This window comes from Homo sapiens, chromosome 10 (assembly GCF_000001405.40).
Source record: "Homo sapiens chromosome 10, GRCh38.p14 Primary Assembly".
NCBI classification, from domain to species: Eukaryota; Metazoa; Chordata; class Mammalia; order Primates; family Hominidae; genus Homo; species Homo sapiens.
Window position 1 is genome coordinate 56,653,831 of NC_000010.11, and position 22,916 is coordinate 56,676,746.

Sequence of the window (22,916 nt, forward strand, 5' to 3'; positions counted from 1 at the left end):
GCAAGCTAACTTTAAAATCCAGGGGCTTTGGGTGTGTTCCAGAACTGCATAAGCTCCAAGTGGCCATTGAATTTCAGTCCAAGGCTGCACCAACCTTTGTGGCCACATGACTCTAGCGCAGGCTACACAAGTTGAAGCAATTCTAGGCTTAGGGTGCTTTCTAGTGCTACAAGAGCTTCAGTGGCCATGGATTTAGAGACCATACCAGTTAGTTTGCACAGAATTTCTGGACAGATTTACTGTTGAAGAACAGTCCCAGACAAAGTCAAACTACAAAGGTTAAAGCAAGTACCTAATTTTTCAATGTATACACATTGACACATGACCATAAGGATCAAGAAAAATCAGGAAAACATTTCACCAAATGGACAAAATAAAGTGCTAGTGACTAACCTTAAAAAGATGGAGATGTCTAAACTGCCTGACAAAAATTCAAAATAGGTGTGTTAAATCTCAGTGAACTTCCAAAAAATTCAGAAAAACAATTTTAAAATGTATCAGATAAATTTAACAGAAAGATTTAAACAATTTTAAAAATCAAATAGAAATTCTGGAAATAAAAACACAATGAACAAAGAAAAAAACACCATAGAGAGCATCAACAGCATAACTGATCAAAGATAATAAAGGATCTGTGAACTCAAAGACAGGTTATTTGAAAATATAAAGTTAGAGGAAAAACATAATGAAAAGTCATAAAGAAAGCTTATGTGATTGATAAGACAGCATCAAAAGGGCAAATTACCAGTCATTGACCTTCAAAACAGAATAGATGAAGATAAAATGATAAGAAGTTTATTTAATGAAATAATAGAATAAAACTTTCCAAGCCTAGAGAAAGATATAAATATCCATGTGCAGGAAGGTCAAAATCTCCAATCATATTCAATTCTAATAAGATTAACTCAAGACATTAACACTATCAAAGATTAAAGGAAAAAAGAAGGTCCTAAATGTAACAACAATAACAAAAACAAAACAGCAAATAACATATAAAGGAGTTCCAAAGCTAAGCAAATAACTTCTAAGAAGAAACCTTCCAGGGCAGGAGATAGTTGAATAATATATTTAAAGTGCTGAAGGAAAAAGACTGTCAACCAAAAATACTGTACCTAAAAAACCATCCATAAGATGTGTGTGAGAGAGAGAAAGATTTTCCTAAGCATACAAAATATGAAGTTGTAGAACAGGTATGGTGATACCTGTTCTACAAAAAAAAAAAAAAATGCTAAAGAAAGTGTTTCAAGCTGAGAAAAAGATACTAATGAGTAACATAAAAAAATCTAAAAGTATAACACTCATTGAAAAAGTAAGTACACAGTCAGATTCATAGTACTCTAATACTGTAATGGTGGAGTGTAAATCACATATGTCTATCAAGAAGGTTAAAAGATAATTCCATTAAAATAATAATAATAATTACAATGATTTTTAAGGAATATGCAATATAAGAACATGTAAATTGTGATGATTAAAATTCAAAATGTTGTGAGGAGTGGCATTAAAGTGTATGAAGGTTTATTTGTTTGTTTGTTTTTACAATTAAAGTTATCAACACGTGCTGTAACTATAGGATAATTTTTTTCAGCCTCATGGTAACCACAAAGAAAGACCCTAAAATAGATACATTAAACTAAAAAGTCAGGGATCAAACATACTAATAAAGAATATCACTTAACCACAAATAAAGACAATATGAAAGAAACAAAGAGAGAGAAAGAAAGAAGAAAGACAGACAGAAAGAAAGAAAGAAAGAAAGAAAGAAAGAAAGAAAGAAAGAAAGAAAGAAAGAAAGAAAGAAAAAATGAAGCAATCAAGCAAACAAGAAACTCAAGCAGATCCTGAGTTGTTGACCTCAGTATGTCATAGAATAAAGTCATCATTTATGTTGAAAGACACAACCCTGGCCATTTAGAAACACTTAAAAATAGAGCTTGGAATCTAGATAGTCTAAATCTTTTATAAATAAATAAACTGAGATTATGTATTTGTCAAATAAGTTGAGATAAGTTTCTAATACATTTTAGAAAGATCTTTATACTACATTTATTTTAAAAAAGTTTTAATTTTGAAACAGAGTAAACTCTCCATTCAGTAGAAAACTAGGCCATGCAGAAAGGCTCACTAGAGTTGTTGGCAGCAGACTGGCAGAAAGGAGAATGGAGGAGAAAATATGAATATGACTATACTGTCTTTGTTTATTTGTTTATAATTCCAAATAGAAACTCACTGAAGACCGCTCTTGATGGGTCCAGTTATTATTAATTGACTGAATTGGTGGTATAAATGCTGCAAATACAAGCACAGAAATTACAACCTTGAAGGAATTTTAATCAGTTTGAATTACATTACTGGCATCACCTTCCTTCTTCAGCGTGTTTTCAGTTCTATTTGCGTATTGCCTAGTTGTTGATGCTTTTTTTTTTTTTTTTTTTTTTTCAGAATTTAAGATCCCATGGTAATTCACCAGAGATGAGAGTATCAGGCTGCAGTTTTTTAGTAAGAAAATTTACAATTAATATGTATTTTGTAGTTAGAAGCACCATTGAATGACTGTAAGAGTATGCATTTTACATTTTAATCTGTGTGCATGATACATGCTAGAGTTGGACAGTAGCCAAGCTGAATGACTGTATGTGGCAGCTCTAGATTGCAAAAATTGCTGAACCACAAATTTTACAAAGGTAATTAATCATTTTTCTTTCTTCTTTTTTTAAAAAAAAAAAAAACTAAGTTCTAGGATACATGTGGAGAACGTTTAGGTTTGTTACATAGGTATACATGTGCCATGGTGGTTTGCTGCACCTATCAACTCGTCATCCAGGTTTTAAGCCCCATATGCATTAGGCATTTGTCCTAATGCTTTCCCTCCCCTTCCCCCCCACAACAACAGGCCCTAGTATGTGATGTTCTCCTCCCTGTGTCCATGTGTTCTCATTGTTCAGCTCCCACTTATGAGTGAGAAAATGCAGTGTTTGGTTTTCTGTTCCTCTGTTAGTTTGCCGAGGATGATGGTTTCCAGCTTCATCCATGTCCCTGCAAAAGACATGAACTCATCCTTTTTATGGCTGCATAGTATTCCATGGTGTATATGTGCCACATTTTCTTTATCCAGTCTATCATTGATGGGCATTTGGATTGGCTCCAAGTCTTTGCTATTGTAAATAGTGCTGCAATAAACATACATTTGCATGTGTCTTTATAGTAGCATGATTTATAATCCTTTGAGTATATACCCAGTAATGGGATTGCTGGGTGAAACGGTATTTCTGGTTCTAGATTCTTGAGGAATTGCCACATTGTCTTCCACAATGGTTGAACTAATTTACACTCTCACCAACAGTGTGAAAGCATTCCTATTTTTCCACATCCTCTACAGCATCTGTTGTTTCCTGACTTTTTAATGATTGCCATTAATGGTGTGAGATGGTATCTCATTGTGATTTTGTTTTGCATTTCTCTAATGACCAGTATGATGAGCTTTTTATCATATGTTTGTTGGCTATATAAATGTCTTCTTTTATGAGGTGTCTGTTTATGTACTTCACCCACTTTTTGATGGATTTTTTTTTTTGTAAATTTGTTGAAGTTCCTTGTAGATTCTGGACACTAGCCCTTTGTCAGATGGATAGATTGCAAAAATTTTCTCCCATTCTGCAGGTTGCCTGTTCACTCTGATTATAGTTTTTTCTTTTTTTTTTTTTTTGCTGTGCAGAAGCTTTTTAGTTTAATTAGATTCCATTTGTCAATTTGGATCATCTTTCTCTCTTTATGTTACTAAACAGAAGATGACAATAAAGTTTCCTACTCAGCAGAAATTAGGATGCTTCAATTTCATGTTGCTAAAACTTTACAGAATTTTATTCTATAAAAAAAATCCTGATATTGAGTAAAATTAACCCCTCATTTAAAAAATATCAATCAGAGTGCTCCATTTCGCAGACTATTGTCATATATATTTGAACTCTTCGCTCTTGGACTATGACTTTGAAATACCATTTCATGTGGCTTTGGGTAAAATCCATTTATACTAGATATCACTTACATTTATAAGTGTGTTTGTAGAATATTTGTAATTATAAGCGTGTTTGTAGAAATATTTGTAATTATAAGTGTGTTTGTAGAAATATTTGTACAGATGTTTGTAAAACAAGTTAAATACTTTGGTTTACTTCTGAAAAGATAAAGTTTCACATAATATTTATTATTGTTGCTATCATGGCTCTTTTCAAAAGAAAAAGCACTCATGAGTTTATACTTTAGGATATCCAAATGATCATTAATTTTTTTTAATATGAGACCGAATTTATGGATCTAGAACTTTAAATAATATGGGCTCATTAATACCCAAATATGTAGGTTTGTTATCTCACATAAGTGAGTAATACATGAGAAAGAAACATTCTGTTCTAGCTTTTTTAAAAAATGTAGCTTGTGTTTAAAAATGGACACAAAGCAAATATTCTGTTCTATTTATTTCATTTGCTTTTCACAATATGTAAAATTTTTAAATAAATGGCATGCTTGAAAATTTAAAAAAAGAAAGAAAGACTCCACAAAACGAATAAAAAATGAATGAAATGGTAGTAGAAGGTTTATACCTATCAACAATTACCTTGAATGTAAATTAATTAAGTTATATTATTAAAAGAAATAGAGTAAATTTATGGATAAGAAACAAAACAACAATCCAAGAATCAATTGCATGCTATCTACAAGAGACTGACTTCACCTGTAAGGACATTAATAGACTGAAAGTGAAGAGATGAAAAAAGATATTCCATGCAAATGCATATCCAAAAATTAAATTAACTATATTCATATCAAATAAAATAGACATTAAGTCAAAAACTGTAAAAAGAAACAAAGAAGGTCCTTATATAATGATGAAAAGGTCAATTCTGCAATAGGATTTAACAATTATAAACATGAATGCAGCCAATACCACAGTAACTAAATTTATAAAGCAAATATTTATAGATATAAAAGGATAATTAGACCACAATACTATATCAGTAGAGGAGTTCAATACCCATTTTAATTAATGGACCACTCATTCAGGAAGAAAATTTTAAAAAGAAATTTAGCAGTTGAATTTAAACTGCACTCTATACCAAATGAATCTAACAGATATTTACAGAACATGTCATACATCAGCTGAAGAATACACATTCTTCTGAACTGTGCATGGAATATTCTCCAAGATAGATTATATGTAAGTTCCCAAAACAAGTCTTAACTAACCTAAGACACTCTGGATTTTCTACTTGATTCTTTTTAATTATTTCAATCTCTTTGTTGAATTTATTTGAGCTTCCTCAAACAACTATTTTGAATTCTCTGTCTGAAAGGTTACATTTCTCTATTTCTACAAAATTGATCCTTGGTGACTTATTTAGTTCATTTTGTGAGATTATATTTTCCTGGATAGTCTTAATACTTGCAGAGGTTCATCTGTGTGTTTGCATTGAAGAGTTAGATATTTATTGTAAACTTCTTAGTCTGAGAATGTTTGTACTGATACATCTTGGGAAGTCTTTCCAGCTATTCAAAAGGACTTTTAGTGTTATGATCTAAGCACTGTCTACTTCAGGTAGCAACATAAGCTCAGTAATGCTGTGGTTCTTACAGACTCATAGAGGTACTACCTTGATAGTCTTAGACAAGGTCCGAATAATTCTCTGGATTATCAGGCAGAAACTCTTGTTCTCTTCCCTTACTTTCTCCCAAACAGAGTCTCTCTCTCTCTCTCTCTCTCTGTTCTGAGCCACCTGGATCTCGGGATGGAGTGACACAAGCACTCCTGTAGCCATTAACATGAGGGCTGTGGTGGGTGAGACCTGATGCCAAAACAGTACTGGGTCTTACACAAGGCCTGCTGCAACCACTCTCTGGATACCACCTACATTTGCTAAAGGCCACAGGACTATACAATCAGCAAGTGGCAATGCCAGCCAGGCCTTTGTCCTTCTCTTCAGGGTGGAAAGTTCCCCCAGGTCTGAGATATGTTCAAAGTTTCCACCTAGAAGCTAGGGACTGTAGTCAAAAATCTTAGAATTGTACCTGCTGTTCTATTGTACTGCAGCTGATCTGGCATTTAAACCACAAGATGCAGTCCTTCCCTCCCCTTTCCAAAGGCAGAGGAGCCTCATCCCATGGCCACCACCACCACACCCTCATAGGGAGTCCTGCCAGACTACCGCCAATGTTCTCTTCAGGCCCAAGGGCTCTTCAATCAGTTTCAATCAGTTTATAATGAATGCTCTCTGGCCTGAGACTCACTCTTTAGGGCAATGGTCTCCCATTTGACCCAGGGCAGGACCAGAAATGTCATCCAAGAGCCAAGTGCCAGAGTCCGGGACCCCAAGATTCTACTTGGTGCTCTACACCCCTGTGGCCAAGGTGGTACTTTAGGTGCAATATAAAGTTTCCTTTGCTTTTCCCTCTGCTTTTCTTAAGTGGAAGGGGTCTCACCTCATTGCCATCACAGCTGGGAATGTGCTGAGTCTCACCTGAATCCAGCTAGTCTTAGAATCTCAGCAAAGGCCCTCAACATAGTACCTAGGTATTGCTACTGGTTATTCGGGACTCAAAGACTCTTCGGTTAGCTGGCGATGAATCCTGCCAGAACTGGGACTTTCCTTTCAAGGCAGCAGATTCCCTTCTAGCCCAAGTGGTGTCTAGAAAAATTGTACAGAGCTAGGGCCTTGAAAGGATATCTCGTGACTCTGACTGCTGCCCTATTTTGCTGTGACTGAGCTGATATTCAAGATGCAAGACAAAAGTCCTCCCTAGTCTTCCATCTTCCTTCCTCAAGCAGAGAGAAGTGGTCTTATTTGGAGCTACAAGTTCTGCAGCCTAGAATTAGGGAGAGGGTGATTCCAGCACCCTCTTAGCTACCCTACCTATTTTTTCAGTCTATTCCATCCTCCCTACCTCCCCCTGGTCTACTGTCTCTAGGCCCATTTCAGCCCTAGAACTTGCCTAGCTGTTGCAGTCTTTGTGGTCTAGACTGTCTTTCAAGTTTATTTAGAGTCCCAGAGCACTTTAGCCTGTGGTGGTGAGGCTTGTGGGAACTCAAGTTCCTACTTCTGGGATTGGCAATTCCCCTCTGGGCAGGGCTGGTATAAATGCCCCCTCTGTGGGCAGGAATCACCTGAGTTTGGTTTGATTTTGTTTTTTGCCATAACGTGGCAGGACTGAGTCAACCCCTCTCCCCAGCACATAGAAAGGCTCTCCACACTGTGTTGCCACTGTTAGGGGACAAGGGAGGGTTGGCATCAATGATTCAAGACTGTTTTTCTTATGACTTAAGCACCACTTTCAGTGATATGAAGTTAAAACCAGTTACTGTAAGTGCTCCCCTGGTTTTTTATTCTTATGAAGGTCCATTTTTGTGCATGTATAGATAGTTGTTAAACTGGTGTTTTTGTCAGGGAAATGATCGGTGGAGCTTTCTATTTTGCCACCTTACTCAGCATATCTATGTCTAATTTATAAATTTAACTTTATCATAAGTATGTATGTATAGAAAAATTTTATGGTATATATAGGATTCAGTACAATCAACAGTTTCCGGCATTCACCTGGAGTCTTCAAAAGTATCCCACATAGATAAGGGGAGATTATTGTACCTACTTACTTTCCACAGACAAATGACCTCAGGTCCCTAGCATTTGCCTTATTGCTATGGACCATGTCTTTTTTGCTACTATTTAAAGGGGCAGACTTAAATATTGTTTAAGAAAGCAGAGAAAATACAAAGAGCTGTTGGCAAATCTGAAATTGAAGTTAGGCGTAAAGTTTCTGTTCATGATCATACTCATCATTCAGGGTATAAAGAATGTCATACATGCACTCTATTCCTGATACTACATCAATGACAGTAATCAGCCTGTAAGTCTCTTTGCCTCCTCATTCAAGTGCAAAATTTTCAACATTTTCTACACAGTGATAGAGAAAAAAATATAACTGGACTGCTCTACATGAAACTCTAATTTTCAAATGGGCCAGAAGAAAGAACTTACGAAAAGCAAACAGACATTTTCTTTATATAGGTAAGATGAGTAGGTCAGTTTGTTTGGAGGAAAAGCAAAAATAGACAGTATGAATATGTGACTACATTTATGATACGCACAGGCTTTTGCTAACACCTAAACAGAGATAAAAATATTTACGAAGTAAAATTTTAACACAAATTAGATTAAATGGATATTGCTTTAATCAAACTGGTCTTTTCTTCCCATAAATAAAGGCAAGAAAATTCAAATGTTTTATTAACTGAACCAACTACAGCTTCCATTACCCCACATATTCCAGCATGCAAATAATACTATGGCACTCTTTCAGGAGTAAAAAATAACATCTGCAAGAATTATTTTTGTATTTTATTTATTTATTTTAGTTTTGAGATGGTGTTTTGCTCTTGTTGCCCAGGCTGGAGTGCTGTGTTGTGATGTCAGCTCACCACAACCTCAGCCTCCCGGGTTCAAGCTATTCTCTTGCCTCAGCCTCTTAAGTAGCTGGGCCTACAGGTGCACACCACCATGCCCAGCTAATTTTTCTATTTTCAGTAGAGACAGGGTTTCACTATGTTGGCCAGACTTGTCTCGAATTCCTGACCTCATGATCTGCCTGCCTTGGCCTCCCAAAGTGCTGGGATTACAGGCGTGAGCCACCATGCACAGCCTGCAAGAATTATTTTTTATAAAAATCTAAATACCTTAAATCTACCATTAAAGGAATTAATAAGGCAGCATCTTGAGGGAATAGCACCTTCTAATTCAATTGTGTACATGAGTTAATAAAACCATTTCTCAATTGCTTGTCTTCCTATGCACATCTTAACCATCCTCCAATAATGACCTTAAATCTAACCCCCTCTCCATGGATCATTGTGTGATTTTGCCATATTTGATTATGACCTTGCATTTATCTAAATGATATAACACCTAAATTATGCTTCTTTTTGAGCCCATATTATATTCTGCCACAAGTTATGTTTATATGTGCCTTTATCTTATTCTGCAACTGGGCTACTATTTTTTCCTGATTTATATTTCCATTTCCTATAGCAATGTTAAGGCCTTGCTCACCACAGTTACTCAATAACTCATCTGAAATGAAAGGTTAAGTGAATGAACTAAGCATAGCATTTTAAGTTTCAGTTCTTCTAATTTAACTCTGTTAGGTATCACCTTACTTGTCAAAAATCCCATGTAATTTTAAATCCATGTAGTAAAGATTTTTATTTTATCTTTATTCTTAAAGTTCAACTTTGAATGAACTAATAATTTTATAAGATTGTTATTTTCTCTTCTGGTTCTCTTTATACTGTCTAAGGATCAGAATAGTTTCAGTCTGTATTTGTCCTTAACCCATTGCACCTTATGGCTTTTTTTTTTTTTTTTTTTGCCACTGTCTCATGAGCCTCTGAAAAACAGAAACCATTTGGATATACCTCTTTCTCATATCACCAAAGCATATGGTATGATGCAGAGCATAAAAAATATTCACAATTGAATAGAACTTTCCCTTTTCAGACAATCAGTTTTTGCTTATTTAGTGAGGATATATCATCATAAAAGTTGTGTCTGTCAAGGTATTGGCAACCTACACTGTTACCACTTCCGCCCAGAGCTACCTAAACTAAGTAAATGGTGGTCCTACCAGCAGAAACAAAGGGGATTTGTAAGCTAAAATAAACATAGATGTGTTAGGGAGTTTTCAAGTGAAAGTAATAGAAAATCCCATCTTGAAATGGGTCAATAAAACTGAGAAAGGTTTACCAGCTTGATTGATGTAATGGCTCAACTGAATTATCAAAGATTTCATTTTGGTTTTATCTTAGTCTTCACTTCTAAACAATTCAAAATAATTGATGCAGTTGAGGAGATATAGGGCCAGGACAATAGTGAGGTAAGTGAGCGACTTGCCTTGGACACAAAATTAAAAGAGGCACAAAAGAAACTGCAACTAAGATGAACAAAATATTTAAACAATATTTTAAAACTTCAAAATTAATGTAAAAATACATAATAAACAGAGATAAACATTTTAAACAAAGACAGGATACATCAAAAAGCGTCCTATCTGTGCCCAGGATGCTTCTGCTTGCATTGACAATGACCACTGTTGCTTCCTTTAGCAGATAAGGAATAATTAACAAGAGGGGCTTGAAGAGGACAGGAAAGTTTCTCATTGGTCCCAACCTTGCCTTTGCTGAATATTTTACCTCCTCATCTCTCCCTTTATTAACTTCAGCTTAGTGTGTGAAGTTTAGCCTTTCCAGCTATGCCCTAGCATGCCTGGTATTTAAGACATTTTAAACATCAGGGAATTCAGCACATGGGTAGACTAAGCCTCTGTTAGCAAACTTTTTTTGTTGTTGTTTTTTGCTCTCTTCAAAAAGCCACTTTGGGATCAAGCTTGCTTTTTCCTTTATAATATAGTCCAATATTCTGGTTGTTTTTCACCAAGCTCCTAATGGTGTAGTTTCTGGACATAAAGTCTAATATCAAATCCATGCTTCAGTAGGCCTCATTTTAACTCTTTTGCTACCATAAAATAAGGATTGAAAACTTCCACATATTGTGGATAAAAGTTTTGTTTTTTTTTATTTTTTTGTCTTCTACCTAACTCCTTTACTTAATCAAGTTCACACTTTTAATGAAATTGAATGGGTCCTTAATTGTCCCATTCACAATTCCAAATCCTATAAAAATTTGGAATGTTCTTGATTAAGAGAAACAGCAAACGACTCAACCTGGCCTACTAATAAAGAGGACTGAATTGCTCATATAAAGTCCAGGAATAAGGAGACCTTCAGACTCACATTCAGGTAACCTAGCCATATAAAAGTAAGAAAGAATAGTTTGTTCATTTGTCTGTTTATTTTTTCATCTCTATCTTCTGCCAACTACAGTCTTGTCTTCTTCTAAATAATTATTTTATCATAGTCATGGAAAGGTTTATCACAATTGAGAATAATTGATTCCTAGTTCACAGTCAAAGGAAGGACAATCTGTTGTGACTCAACATTTCAATCACAATTACCACAGACTCACTCCTATTGAACTAGCTTAGATCATATGACTATTACTAAAGCAATACCTGGGAATGGGCTGATTGGCTTAGGCTATCAGAGCCTAGATAAAGAGCTGCTATATTTTACTTTCCCTTGAAGCATTTGGCATACTTGAGGGAAAGGTTGAGATACCCTAAAAAATAAATGGTTACATTTATAATTATGGAAGAGAAAATAGATTCTAGATATTCAACCACAAATTGCCACTGGGAAGAAACTAAGTTAATTAGATACACATATTTTTAATAATCAGATAAGAAAGAAAGCATACTAGGTCTTGTTTGATCACTGTAAGGAGGAACAAAAAAAAAGTTTGAGTACGCAGTTGGGCTCAAAAGGTAAGATTAGATTGCACTGACCTTTAAGTGCATATGACATTTTGTCATTAGAAAAAGGTCAGGATAATTATTTTTTTCTGGATTCTTAAAAGTTTTGTGTCATGGACTCCTTTGGCAGTTTATTGGATTTTATGTATTCCTTCATTAAGGAATGGTATATGTTTAATGCAAGGATCAAAGAAAACACACACACACACACACACACACACACACACACACACACACACATATATACACATATATGATTATAGAAAAACAATAATTTTATTGAAATACAAGTGATCTGTGGACTGCAGTTAAAAACTCCTGATAGATCAATGACTCATTACTGGGTGGAAGTCAAATCACCTAGATTTGCAGCATTCAAACAAATGAACAAAAAACTAGAGAACCATTCTAGGAATATTAAATTAGAATCTCTACATAAGATGCTGGCATGAGTAGTTCTCTTGTTTTTTCTTTATGATTATTATGTGATTCTAAAGTATAGTTATGGTTGAGAACCACTCATCTACAACAATATTTTTTAAACTTTATGTGCTTTTGAATAACCTGAGCATTTTGTTAAAACATAATCTGATCAATGGGCCTGGGATAGAGCCTGGAATCTTGTATTTCTAAATAGCTTTCAAGTAATGCTAATGTTTCTGGCCTATGAGGAACACTTGTTGTAACAAGGGGCCAAGCAATCATTTACTTTCTTGAAGTAAAATTGTTTTGCAAATTTATCCATGTTTAAAAGGCAGAATTATGTCATCTCGCCAGAGTTAAGAAGTCTTTTTTTTCCCATTATGCTTATTTTCTATTTTGACTTTTTCCTTGGCATGCTTATATATACAAAGTTTCATAAAATAAAATTTTCACTTGCTGAGTTTCTTTTCTGACATTATTATTTTATTTTATTATTGCAGAAAAATAGTTTTTTAGGTGTAGAAAAAAAGAATAAAAAAATGATTTTCTTGGTGTTAAATAGGGCACTTGATCAACGTTATAAATGAACCAGACCTAAAAGAGATATATGGAATACCCCACTCAATAAAAACAAATACTTTCTTTTCAAGTGAACATGATAAAACATATGTTAGGCCACAAAACAAGTCTCAGTACATGTAAAAAATTGAGATCATACAAAGCATCTGACATGATGAATAAAGGGAGAAATCAATAACAGAAAGAAAACAGAATTATTTACAAATATGTGGGGAAAAACAGTTCACTCTTTGACAATTTAAGTTTCTTTTAAACAAGGATGCCAAGAAGATTTAATACGGAAAAAACTGGTTTCTTCAACAAATAGTACTGGGAAAACTGTATATCCACACACAAAATAATGAAGCTTGACTTTCATATCATATAGAAATTAACTCAAAATGGACAAAGACCTAAATATGAGATAAAATTATAACAATATTAGAAGAAAACATAGGGATAAATCTTTATTACCTTTTATTTGGCAATGGATCCTTAGATATGACACCAAAAGCACAAACAACGAATGAAAATTAGATAGACTGAACTTTATGAATTAAAAACATTTGCATATCAAAGGACATTAAGAAAGCAAAAAGACAGTGTACAGATAGGATAAAATATTTGCAAGTCACATAGCTGACAAGAGTCTATTATCCAGAATATACCAAACACTCCTACAAGTCAACAACAAAAAGTCCAATTTATAAGACAAGAAGATTTTAATAGAGATTTCCCTGAAGAAGATATACAAATAGCTAACAAATACATGAAAAGATATTTAACATCATTAGCCATTAGGAAAATGCAAAGCAGAACTGTGTTAAAATCCAGCTTCACATATATTAGGAAAGTTATAATAAAACCAAAACAAAAATAAAAACAGAAAATAAGTATTGGCAAGGATGTGGAGAAATCAGAAACCTCTTACATTGCTGGTGGGAATAAAAGAATACAACTGCTGTGGAAGTTTTGTGGTTCCTGGAAAAGTTATATATATAAAATTACCACATGACCTAGAAATTCTACTGCTGGCTATATGTCCAAAAAGTTTTAAACAGAAACTTAAAGAAATACTTTTGTGTAAATACTGAATACCACTATTCACAATAACCAAAATGGTGAAAACAACACCAATGCCTAAAAATAAATGAATGAAGACTGAAAGCGTGGTATACATACAGTGGTTTATTATTCAACCATAAATAAAAATGAAGTACTTAGGCACGTAATATCATCGATTAACCTCAAAAAGAAAATATTAGACTGAGTGAAGGAAACCGGAAACAAAAGGTCACATACTATATGATTAAATGTATATGAAATATGCAGAATAAGTGCATCCAAAAAAATAGAAAGCCTCTAGGAAGCCTCCCCTTCCCCCTCCCCCTCCCTTTCCCCTTCCCCCTTTCCCCCCGCACCCTTCCTTCCTTTCTTTCCTCCCTCCTGTATAGAGAAATTAAGACTTAGTAAAGTGACTTGTCCAGGTAGCAGGTATCAGAGCCTGGACTCACACCTGTGCCTCTGTCTTGAGACCAGCAGGTGAGTGGGCACTGGTTGAGTAGCGTGTTTTCGCTCAGGTGGTCTTGCACCTGGCCACCCTGCGGGCCGGCGTGCTCTGTCTCTGCGGTTCACTGCACAGCGTGCATTCCATTCAGAAAAATAGAAGGGCTGGCGATAATGAGAAATAGGGAGTAACAGTTCAGAAAGTGTAGGATTTTCTTTTGGGATGATGAAATGCTTTGTAACTAGATAGACATTATAGTTGCACAATGTGCTAAATGCGAATGTACTAAAATTGTATACTTTAATTAATTTTGTGAATTTCACCTTAATAAAAAAGATTATGAGCCATTAAAACTTTGTCTTAGCCAAAATTTATTTTAAAATAAACTCCATATAAAACAAAAAACATACACTACTAGAAGAATACAGCATTTACAGTGCTTTAGGACAAATTTTCAAAACAAAAAGTAGTGAGAAAAGTTAATATTTAATCTACTTATTAAGTATGTACATTTCTCTCTTTATTCAAATGATTCCCATAACATGGTCACAAGATAGCATAATCACTCTAAAACAGATGGCCTCCATATCGTAAGCCATCTAGTCAAGACCTATTTTTGTCTAATGCAAGAAGAAGCACCATTTAAACAATGATTCTACCATGTTTCTTTCTTTTTTAAAATAAATAAAGGTCATGAAAACACTGTACTACTCTGATGTTCAATATAAGAGCCACATGTTATTATCAAGCTTTTGAAATGCGGCTAGACCAAATTAAGATTTGCTGTTAAGTGTAAAATTTTAATAAAATTTCAAAAAAGATTTCAAAAACGTAGTTCAAAAGATGGCTGTCAAATACCTCATTAACACTTTTATTTATTGATTGCATGTTAAAAAATACTATTTTGGATATCTCAAGTTAAATAAAATAAATTTTAAACAATATTCCTTTATTAATTTTTAACAAGAAACTTAATATTTGATGTAAAAATTAAGTCTGCAGATGGGTAATATATAAAATTCATAGCCTTCGGAAATGTCTGGTATTATGGACTGAATGTTTTTATATCTTCCTCGAATTGATGTGTTGAAATCCTAATCACCAAAGTGATGGTTTTAGGAAGTGGGGACTTCAAGAGATGAAGTCATGAGGATGAAACTCTCCTGTAATGGAATTAGTGCCTTTATAAGAGGAAACACAAAAGCGATTAACTTCTCCCTTCCTCATGTAAGGATGCAATGAGAAGATGGCCATTTGCAAACCAGGAAGCAGGTCCTCATTAGACAGCAGATTGGTGGGCACTTCCAGGCTGCTATAACAAAAATACTATACCATAGAAATTTATTTCTCACAGATCTAGAAGCTAAAAGTCCAAGATCAAAGCACCAGCAGATTCCATGTCTGGTGAGGGCTTCTTGCCGTTAACTTTAATGGCAAAAGGAGTGAGGAGTCTCTCTCCAGCTTCTTTTATAAGGACACTAATCCTTTTCATGAGGGCTCCACCTTCATGGTCTTGTCTAGTCCCGAAGGACCCACCTCTTAATATTATCGGCTTTGGAGGTTGGAATTTCAGCATATACATTTTGTGGGGGAGACACAAACATTCAGACCATAGCAATGTGACTATTCACAATATTTACAGAACTGTTAATTTTTAAAAATGATTTCCCTTGCAAAGGTATTTTTTAAAGGTAAGGCCTCAAAGAAGGATTGTGTTGGGTACATCTGACAATATGCATAGAAAATGCTCAAAAATAAATTTGTTTGGAGGTGGTATTTCTAAAAAGGCAGATCAAAAAGGGTTTGCATTTACTTTTTCCCCTTCCCACCTCCAAAATTTAGTATATGCTACTTAGAGGAATAAACTTGGTGAAGAAGGGAATAATATATCCAATAGTTGCTTTGTGTTTTCATTAAGTGCATTTACAGGTCCTGTGAGAGACAGTGCAACTCCCAAAAAAAGATGAAATCTAATCCCAGGGTTCTCATTTCACCCCAGAGAGAAGTAACTTGGGAAAGATAATGAACTTTCCCCATTTCCTCATTTTCTTTATGAGAACTTAACAATCAAAATCCCATGATATTTTCCTGCCAATGGGAAGATAGGCCTAACTTCTAGTATTAGGAAGAAAGAGTAAGAAGGAAAAATGTGTTGGCTCCATCATAAAACTTCTTGTCTCAATTTGGTAAGATATTTATCTTTGTCTTATGAACTGAAAGTGAATATCAAGTGGGAAAAGACTTGTCCTACATTTTCACAATTAAGATGAGTACTCAAGGAATATTATAGAACAATTATGCTAAGCATCTTTGGGCTTAAAAACAATAGAAAACAAAACTGTACCATAATACTTTTGATAGAGTTTATAGTGTTAGTTTTAATTAACTTAATAATAACATCAGAAGACAATTATAGACATGGCCCAAATGCTAGAAAGCAGGTAAAAATTCATTGATATTAATCTATGGGCTTCATACTACCTCTACTTCCTAATTTCCTGTTAATTATGTAGAGTCAATGGACATCTGCTGAAACAGTTTATACCAGTGTAATGCTTCATGAAGAAAGAGTATATGTCAATTTTGTTTATTGTTTTTAGCCTGTCTGACTCACATTATGTGTCAAAGTTTTTGAATTGTTAAACTAAGCAATTGTTCCTCCCAACATGTCATGAACACTAGCTGGTGTGAACTAGAATGAGAACTACAATATTTGGGGTTACTTCCTTTTGTAATACACATAATCTTATGTCCTGCACAGACTCCCAAATAATATCATCTAGGCTATACACAAGAGAAATGTTCACCCATTTGAAAAAGATATGACTGATGAAAGGTATATTTTTTCACTGAATAGAGCTAGAAACGTTGACAATCTGGAAATCACTCTTTATACCCGGTGCCACTGTCTTACCATTTATCTTGAGTCTACTTTCTACTTACCATCTATCTCCTCTTACACAATTCTAGGTCTTGAAGCCATCCTCTTTATATCAAAGTTATATAAAAGCCTCTAAACTGGTTTATCTACATCTGTTAATGCTTTATTCAAAACCTCCCTCATGGTACAGTAACAATGTCTTATTAAATTTGTTATTCAAGTTATTATTATGCATAAAGTTCTCCATTAACTTCTCACTCTAAGATATAGTACAAAATCCTTAATTCAATATGTGATCCTATGTCCTTATATGATTTCTTTATATGATCTAGCTCCCATTCACCAGGCTCCTACAGAATCAGTATTCCTTCTTCTTTACTCACCAGCCATATCAACTTTCATTTATTTCCTCTCAAATGTAACTTCTACTTTGCTTGTTCAAATACCATAGGTTTCCTATATTTTAATACCAATTCTTAGGCAGAGATCAGTGTCCAGCAACTTGAACTCCAACTTATGGCCTCTCCCAGCCTCAAAACTATATTAACTGCAGTAAAGGGCTCAGCCCAGTGATGAAAGAAGCATAAAGACTAGCCTCCATTCTGGACTAAATCCCAGGATCTGTGCATTTTTTTTCACTTGCTACGTAAGAAACAAACATTTTCCTTAAACGAATATTCAACAGCTAAGAGGAAATCAACTTAAAAGTGCACCACAATTAATTTTGCATTTTAGAAATCTGAGTATGTATAAGCAATTTACTAAATTAGTCAACATCACTAGTCATTGCTGTGTATCTACTCTTTTCCAGAATAATGTCCACCACTTCTCGAAGTCCTAATGTATGCCAGACATTTTGGTCAATGATTTATATATATTGTTCCAATTATCATTCATAACAGTCAAATGTGATGTTATTATCCCTATACTACAACTGAAGGGTAAGTAACCTAAGAAAACACAGAGTGAATACAGAACTCAATTCTAGTCTTAGGTGTTTACTCCAAGACCTTTCTCTCTTCCCTCTTGCCTTAGCTTTTTCCTTCTGTGGAAAATACTGCATTGCTGAAGACTTAAGTTACTTACAGCTCTCTTCTTAAAGTCAGTGCCTCTGCAGCAGTTGCATGCTGCCTCATAATTCCCTTGCATCATACCATTCTCATTGTACCTAATGAGAGAGGTGCCCATCTCTGACAACCCTAAGAATAGTGAATCCTGCAAACATTTCAATAAAACATGTATTCCTATAGAGTGACAAGTTCCCAGATGGAACCTTAATTTGCTTTTCTACAGGCAAACAAAAGCTCACTAGAAGCTTGTTGCTTTAAAAAGAGTCCACTAGAGCTTTCCAAGAGAAGAAGCATTGTCCTGAATTTTCCCTTCTCCTTGTAATAAAAGAGAATAAGGCATCCTTTATTATAGAAATAAGCCAAAAGAATAAAAGAAAAGAATGAGGCCATAATAATCCTTCTATCTATTTTTTCTTTATTTTTCTTTCCACCCTTGTATATGCTTGTCTCTTCTAATCACCATTGGATAAGATTCTGGAATCCCTACTAATTTTGATATTCATTTAAAATTCCAACTATGTATCATTTTTGTTATTTGTATCTCTTTGTTTATTGCATATTATTAGAGTTCAAATTTCTCTCATTTAATATACATATTTGAGTAAAAACTATCAGAAACTGAATCATCAGATTAAATAATAATAATAATAATAATTGTCTTATTCCTAAGAACATGCACTTAAAGGGCTGATCTTTGTATTCCCACTAATGGACTTCAGTAGGTAAATAATTTCTTTCTTGATCTCTCTTTATGAACACAGTCAGGGTCCATTACTTGTATTCTCTTGATTTAGTCAAAATTTCTAATCTGAAATGGACTTTTTTCATTATTTCTTATTAAATAAAGGTTTACTTATGGTGATGTTAATACTGAGTGTCAACTTGATTGGATTGAGGGATACAAAGTATTGATCCTGGGTGTGTCTGTGTGGGTGTTGTTAAAAGAGATTAACATTTGAATCAGTGGGCTGGGGAAGGTAGATCCACTCTTAATCTGGAGTGTACAATCTTATCAGCTGCCAGTGAATATAAAGTAGGCAGAAAAATGTGAAAAAGCAAGACAGGCCTAGACTCCCAGCCTACATCTTTCTCCCGTGCTGGATGCTTCCTGCCCTCGAACATAGGACTCCAAGTTCTTCAGTTTTGAGACTCCGACTGGCTCTCCTTGCTCCTTAGCTTGTAGACAGCCTATTGCGGGACCTTGTGATTGTATAAGTTAATACTTAACAATCACCCCTTTACAGATATAGATATAGATATAGATATAGATGATATAGATATAGATATAGATATAATCTATCTATCTATCTATATATATATATACACACACACACATCTCTATCTATTAGTGCTGTCCCTCTAAGAGAATCCTGACTAATACATTGACATTTAATGGTGATTGATTCTTAAATGTTTTTTTTTTACTACTTTCACAAATTATTGTTTAAGACATAGTTTTCACTACTAATGTCTAAGATTCACTTGGTACCTTAATGCCTTAATGACTCCTCCAAATGGTAATAATAGCATACATCATCTGAGGTTGTCAAAAATATTTTTCATGCACCAGTCATATTTTGTGTTCATAGTTAACTTCTTCTTAGAATTTTTAAAAATTGCATATTTCCATGCATGTAATTTTTCTGCTGGACCATTTAAATGTTCAACAAATAGTTATTGACTATCAATTCAATGTTCAAAGTGAGAAGACTGGGTAAAAAATGAGACTAAAACGTTTAACATTGAAAAGTACTTAGTTTTGTTATTTTTCATTATGTAGAACATTTTTATTTCATTAAAAATTAATTGGAAACATATATTCAACCCGAATTTCTCAGTGCCAAAGTGACCAAACTGAAGTGTTTTCAAGTGATTAGAGTATAGGAACTTAACTACTAAAAGAGTTAACTATGTAGTTACTGATATGAAAACAAAAAGACAAACTCAAAGTTAAAATCAGATATCCTGGGTACAACTACAAGAACTATAGTTCTGTAGGTGTATGAACATGCACAAATTATTTAATGCCTTTCTGATTTAATTCCCTCATCTGAAAATGGGAACCTAATATACATGCTATCTAATTCCATGATTGATAAAAAGATTCAATTTGAAATCCTCATATAACTGGTATATAAACAATGACATCAGCATGTAAGTATAAATATTGCAAAGTGTTCTTTAAATAAGAATAGAATATCAAAATGTTTAATATTCCCACAAACATTTTGAATAGGATATGATTGTATTTTTGAGAATTCTTTAAAGTATAGCCCATTCCATATTCTCTGTATCTATTAAATTTCATATGGTGAATTCTAGACAATTCTTATCCACTATAATTGAGAATAATGATCCCATTATTGCAGTCATACATTCATACCTTCATTCATCCATTTATTAAACAAACATTTATTGAGCATCTTATGTGCTTCAAGCTTTTGGTATCTGTCTGGGTATAGGAAAAAAATAGTGACATGGTCCCTGCTCTTATAAAACTGTATGTGAGGTTATGTATATAATTGAAATACTCATAAAATATGCTGAAATAGAGGTACACAGTATATTGTTTGTGAACATTGAGGGTTAAATAAATTATTCAAATCAAGATATATTCTAGGGTTCTCAGTCAAGGCGCTAATTTCCAATTTGCCTCACAAATTCTCTGTATAGCAAATTCAGCAAGAGCAATATTAACTGGTCTGAGGTTCAACCTCTCTCTCTGTCTCTAGTAACAATCCTAAAAAAGTATGAGAATGTGAAGAGTTAGAAAATAACAGGGAAAGGAAAAAAATTTAAAGGACCTGGGTAACATAACAAGATAATAACAAACAACTCAGATATTAATCTTAATATGGAATAAAAAAATTCATATTTTAACCAAATAAGAAAAGATTAAAATCGATAACATTGAACATCTATTACATCCTACATTTTAGACACCACATTTATATATATTATCTTATTTTAAAACTTGAAAAAACATTAAATTAAAAATTATTGCACTTACTGTTTTTTGCTTGTTTGTTTGTTTTATTTTACTTTAAGTTATGGGATACATGTGCAGAACGTGTAAGGTTTGTTACATAGGTATAGACATGCCATGGTGGTTTGCTGCACCTATCAACTCACCATCTACATTAGGTATTTCCCCTAATGCTATCCCTCCCCTAGCCCCCCATTGCCCAACAGGCCCTTGTGTGTGATGTTCCCTTCCTGTGTCCATGTGTTCTCATTGTTCAACTCCCATTGATAAGTGAGAACACGTGGTGTTTGATTTTCTGTTCCTGTGTTAGTTTGCTGAGGATGATGGTTTCCAGCTTCATCCATGTCCTGGCAAAGGAAATGAACTCATCCTTTTTTAAGGCTGCCTAGTATTCCATGGTGTATATGTGCCACATTTTCTTTATCCAGTCTATCATTAGTGGGCATTTGGGTTGGTTCCAAGTCTTTCCTATTGTGAATAGTGCTGCAATAAACATACGTGTGCATGTGTCTTTATAATAGAATGATTTATAATCCTTTGAGTATATACCCAGTATGGGATTGCTGGGTCAAATGGTATTTCTGGTTCTAGATCCTTGAGGAATCATCACACTGATTTCCACAATGGCTGAACTAATTTACACTCCCACCAACAATTTAAAGCATTCCTATTTCTCCACATCCTCTCCAGCATCTGTTGTTTCCTGACTTTTTAATGATTGCCATTCTAACTGGTGTGAGATGGTATCTCATTGTGGTTTTGATTTGCATTTCTCTAATGACTGGTGATTATATATATATATATATACACATATATATATAGTATATTATATATACATATTACATATATAAGATATAATATATTATATATACATATTATATATATATATATAGCACTTGTTTTATTGTGGCATATCTGAAGTGTTGAAAGATTAAGTCACCTAAACTAAAACAAACTAAAAACCATAGCTTTTAAAAATTCCAAATCCTATATATCTCCTCTAAAACACATACCTAGTCTTAAAATAAAACAATACATGCACCCACAATTCTCTAACATATGAGTGTTTAGGTGTGTATGATGAAGCTTCTCAATCTTGCTCTTTAAACTTAATCTCTGATTCTTTACACAATTTATTGCATGTCAAATTGCAATTATAGTAAACAAAAGAGTTTATCTCCTGTGGTGAAAGACAATTTTCCATCCGAGTTAGTTATTTAGTCCTGTTACATAGAAGGCATGTCATAGGCAAGAACAGAAGTTATTTATTCATACACTGGGAAGAAAATTACTTTTGGCATTTTCACTTTCCTTGTTAAACAAATATTATCAAGTAGGTACTGAATATCTGCTATGTATTCAGAATTCACCTACCCTCTGTGGTAGGACCTGTAAAGTTATCACATGCTGTATAGCATAAAGGTGACTAATGACAAGGAAAAGAAAAAGCTTCTTCCAGAAATTGGGATTCCAATGTAAAAATATGAGTACTATTTAAATAAGTAAAGGGAAAAATGTATGGAGGGTAGTCTCTGAAGACACAGACAGAATAAAGCAATAGAAACCAAAAGAAAATTGACATAGTCACTGGAACAGTGGTTCAAGGCCCATAATAAGGCCATTCAGCATATTATTTGTTCAAATAAAATATGGATTTCTGCCAGGCTTCAATTTTCTAAAAATCATATTTAATCTTGTAACAGTTTTTTTTTGCCATTTACACTATTACATTTAATTAGAGCAAAGTTTGCATTTAACACATAATCTTTTTATAAACATTAAATAGAAAAAAGAAACACTATACTTGAATTATGACACAATGTTTTTTAAAAATTTTCATTAATGATGAAAGTCATCTAGACTTTTAGAGATGTTATAATACAAATAAAAGTTTTTCTCATAAATAATGAAACACAGAATCTGAATTGTAACATTTTAAGGGTCTTTGGTTTCTCTCACCATTCCTATTCAATAATGTACTTAAAAGTCCTAGCTAATGAAAATTTAAGACCAACAAAAGAAATAAAAGTTATGCAGACTGGGAAAAAATACAAATGTCTTTTCACAGATGACATAACT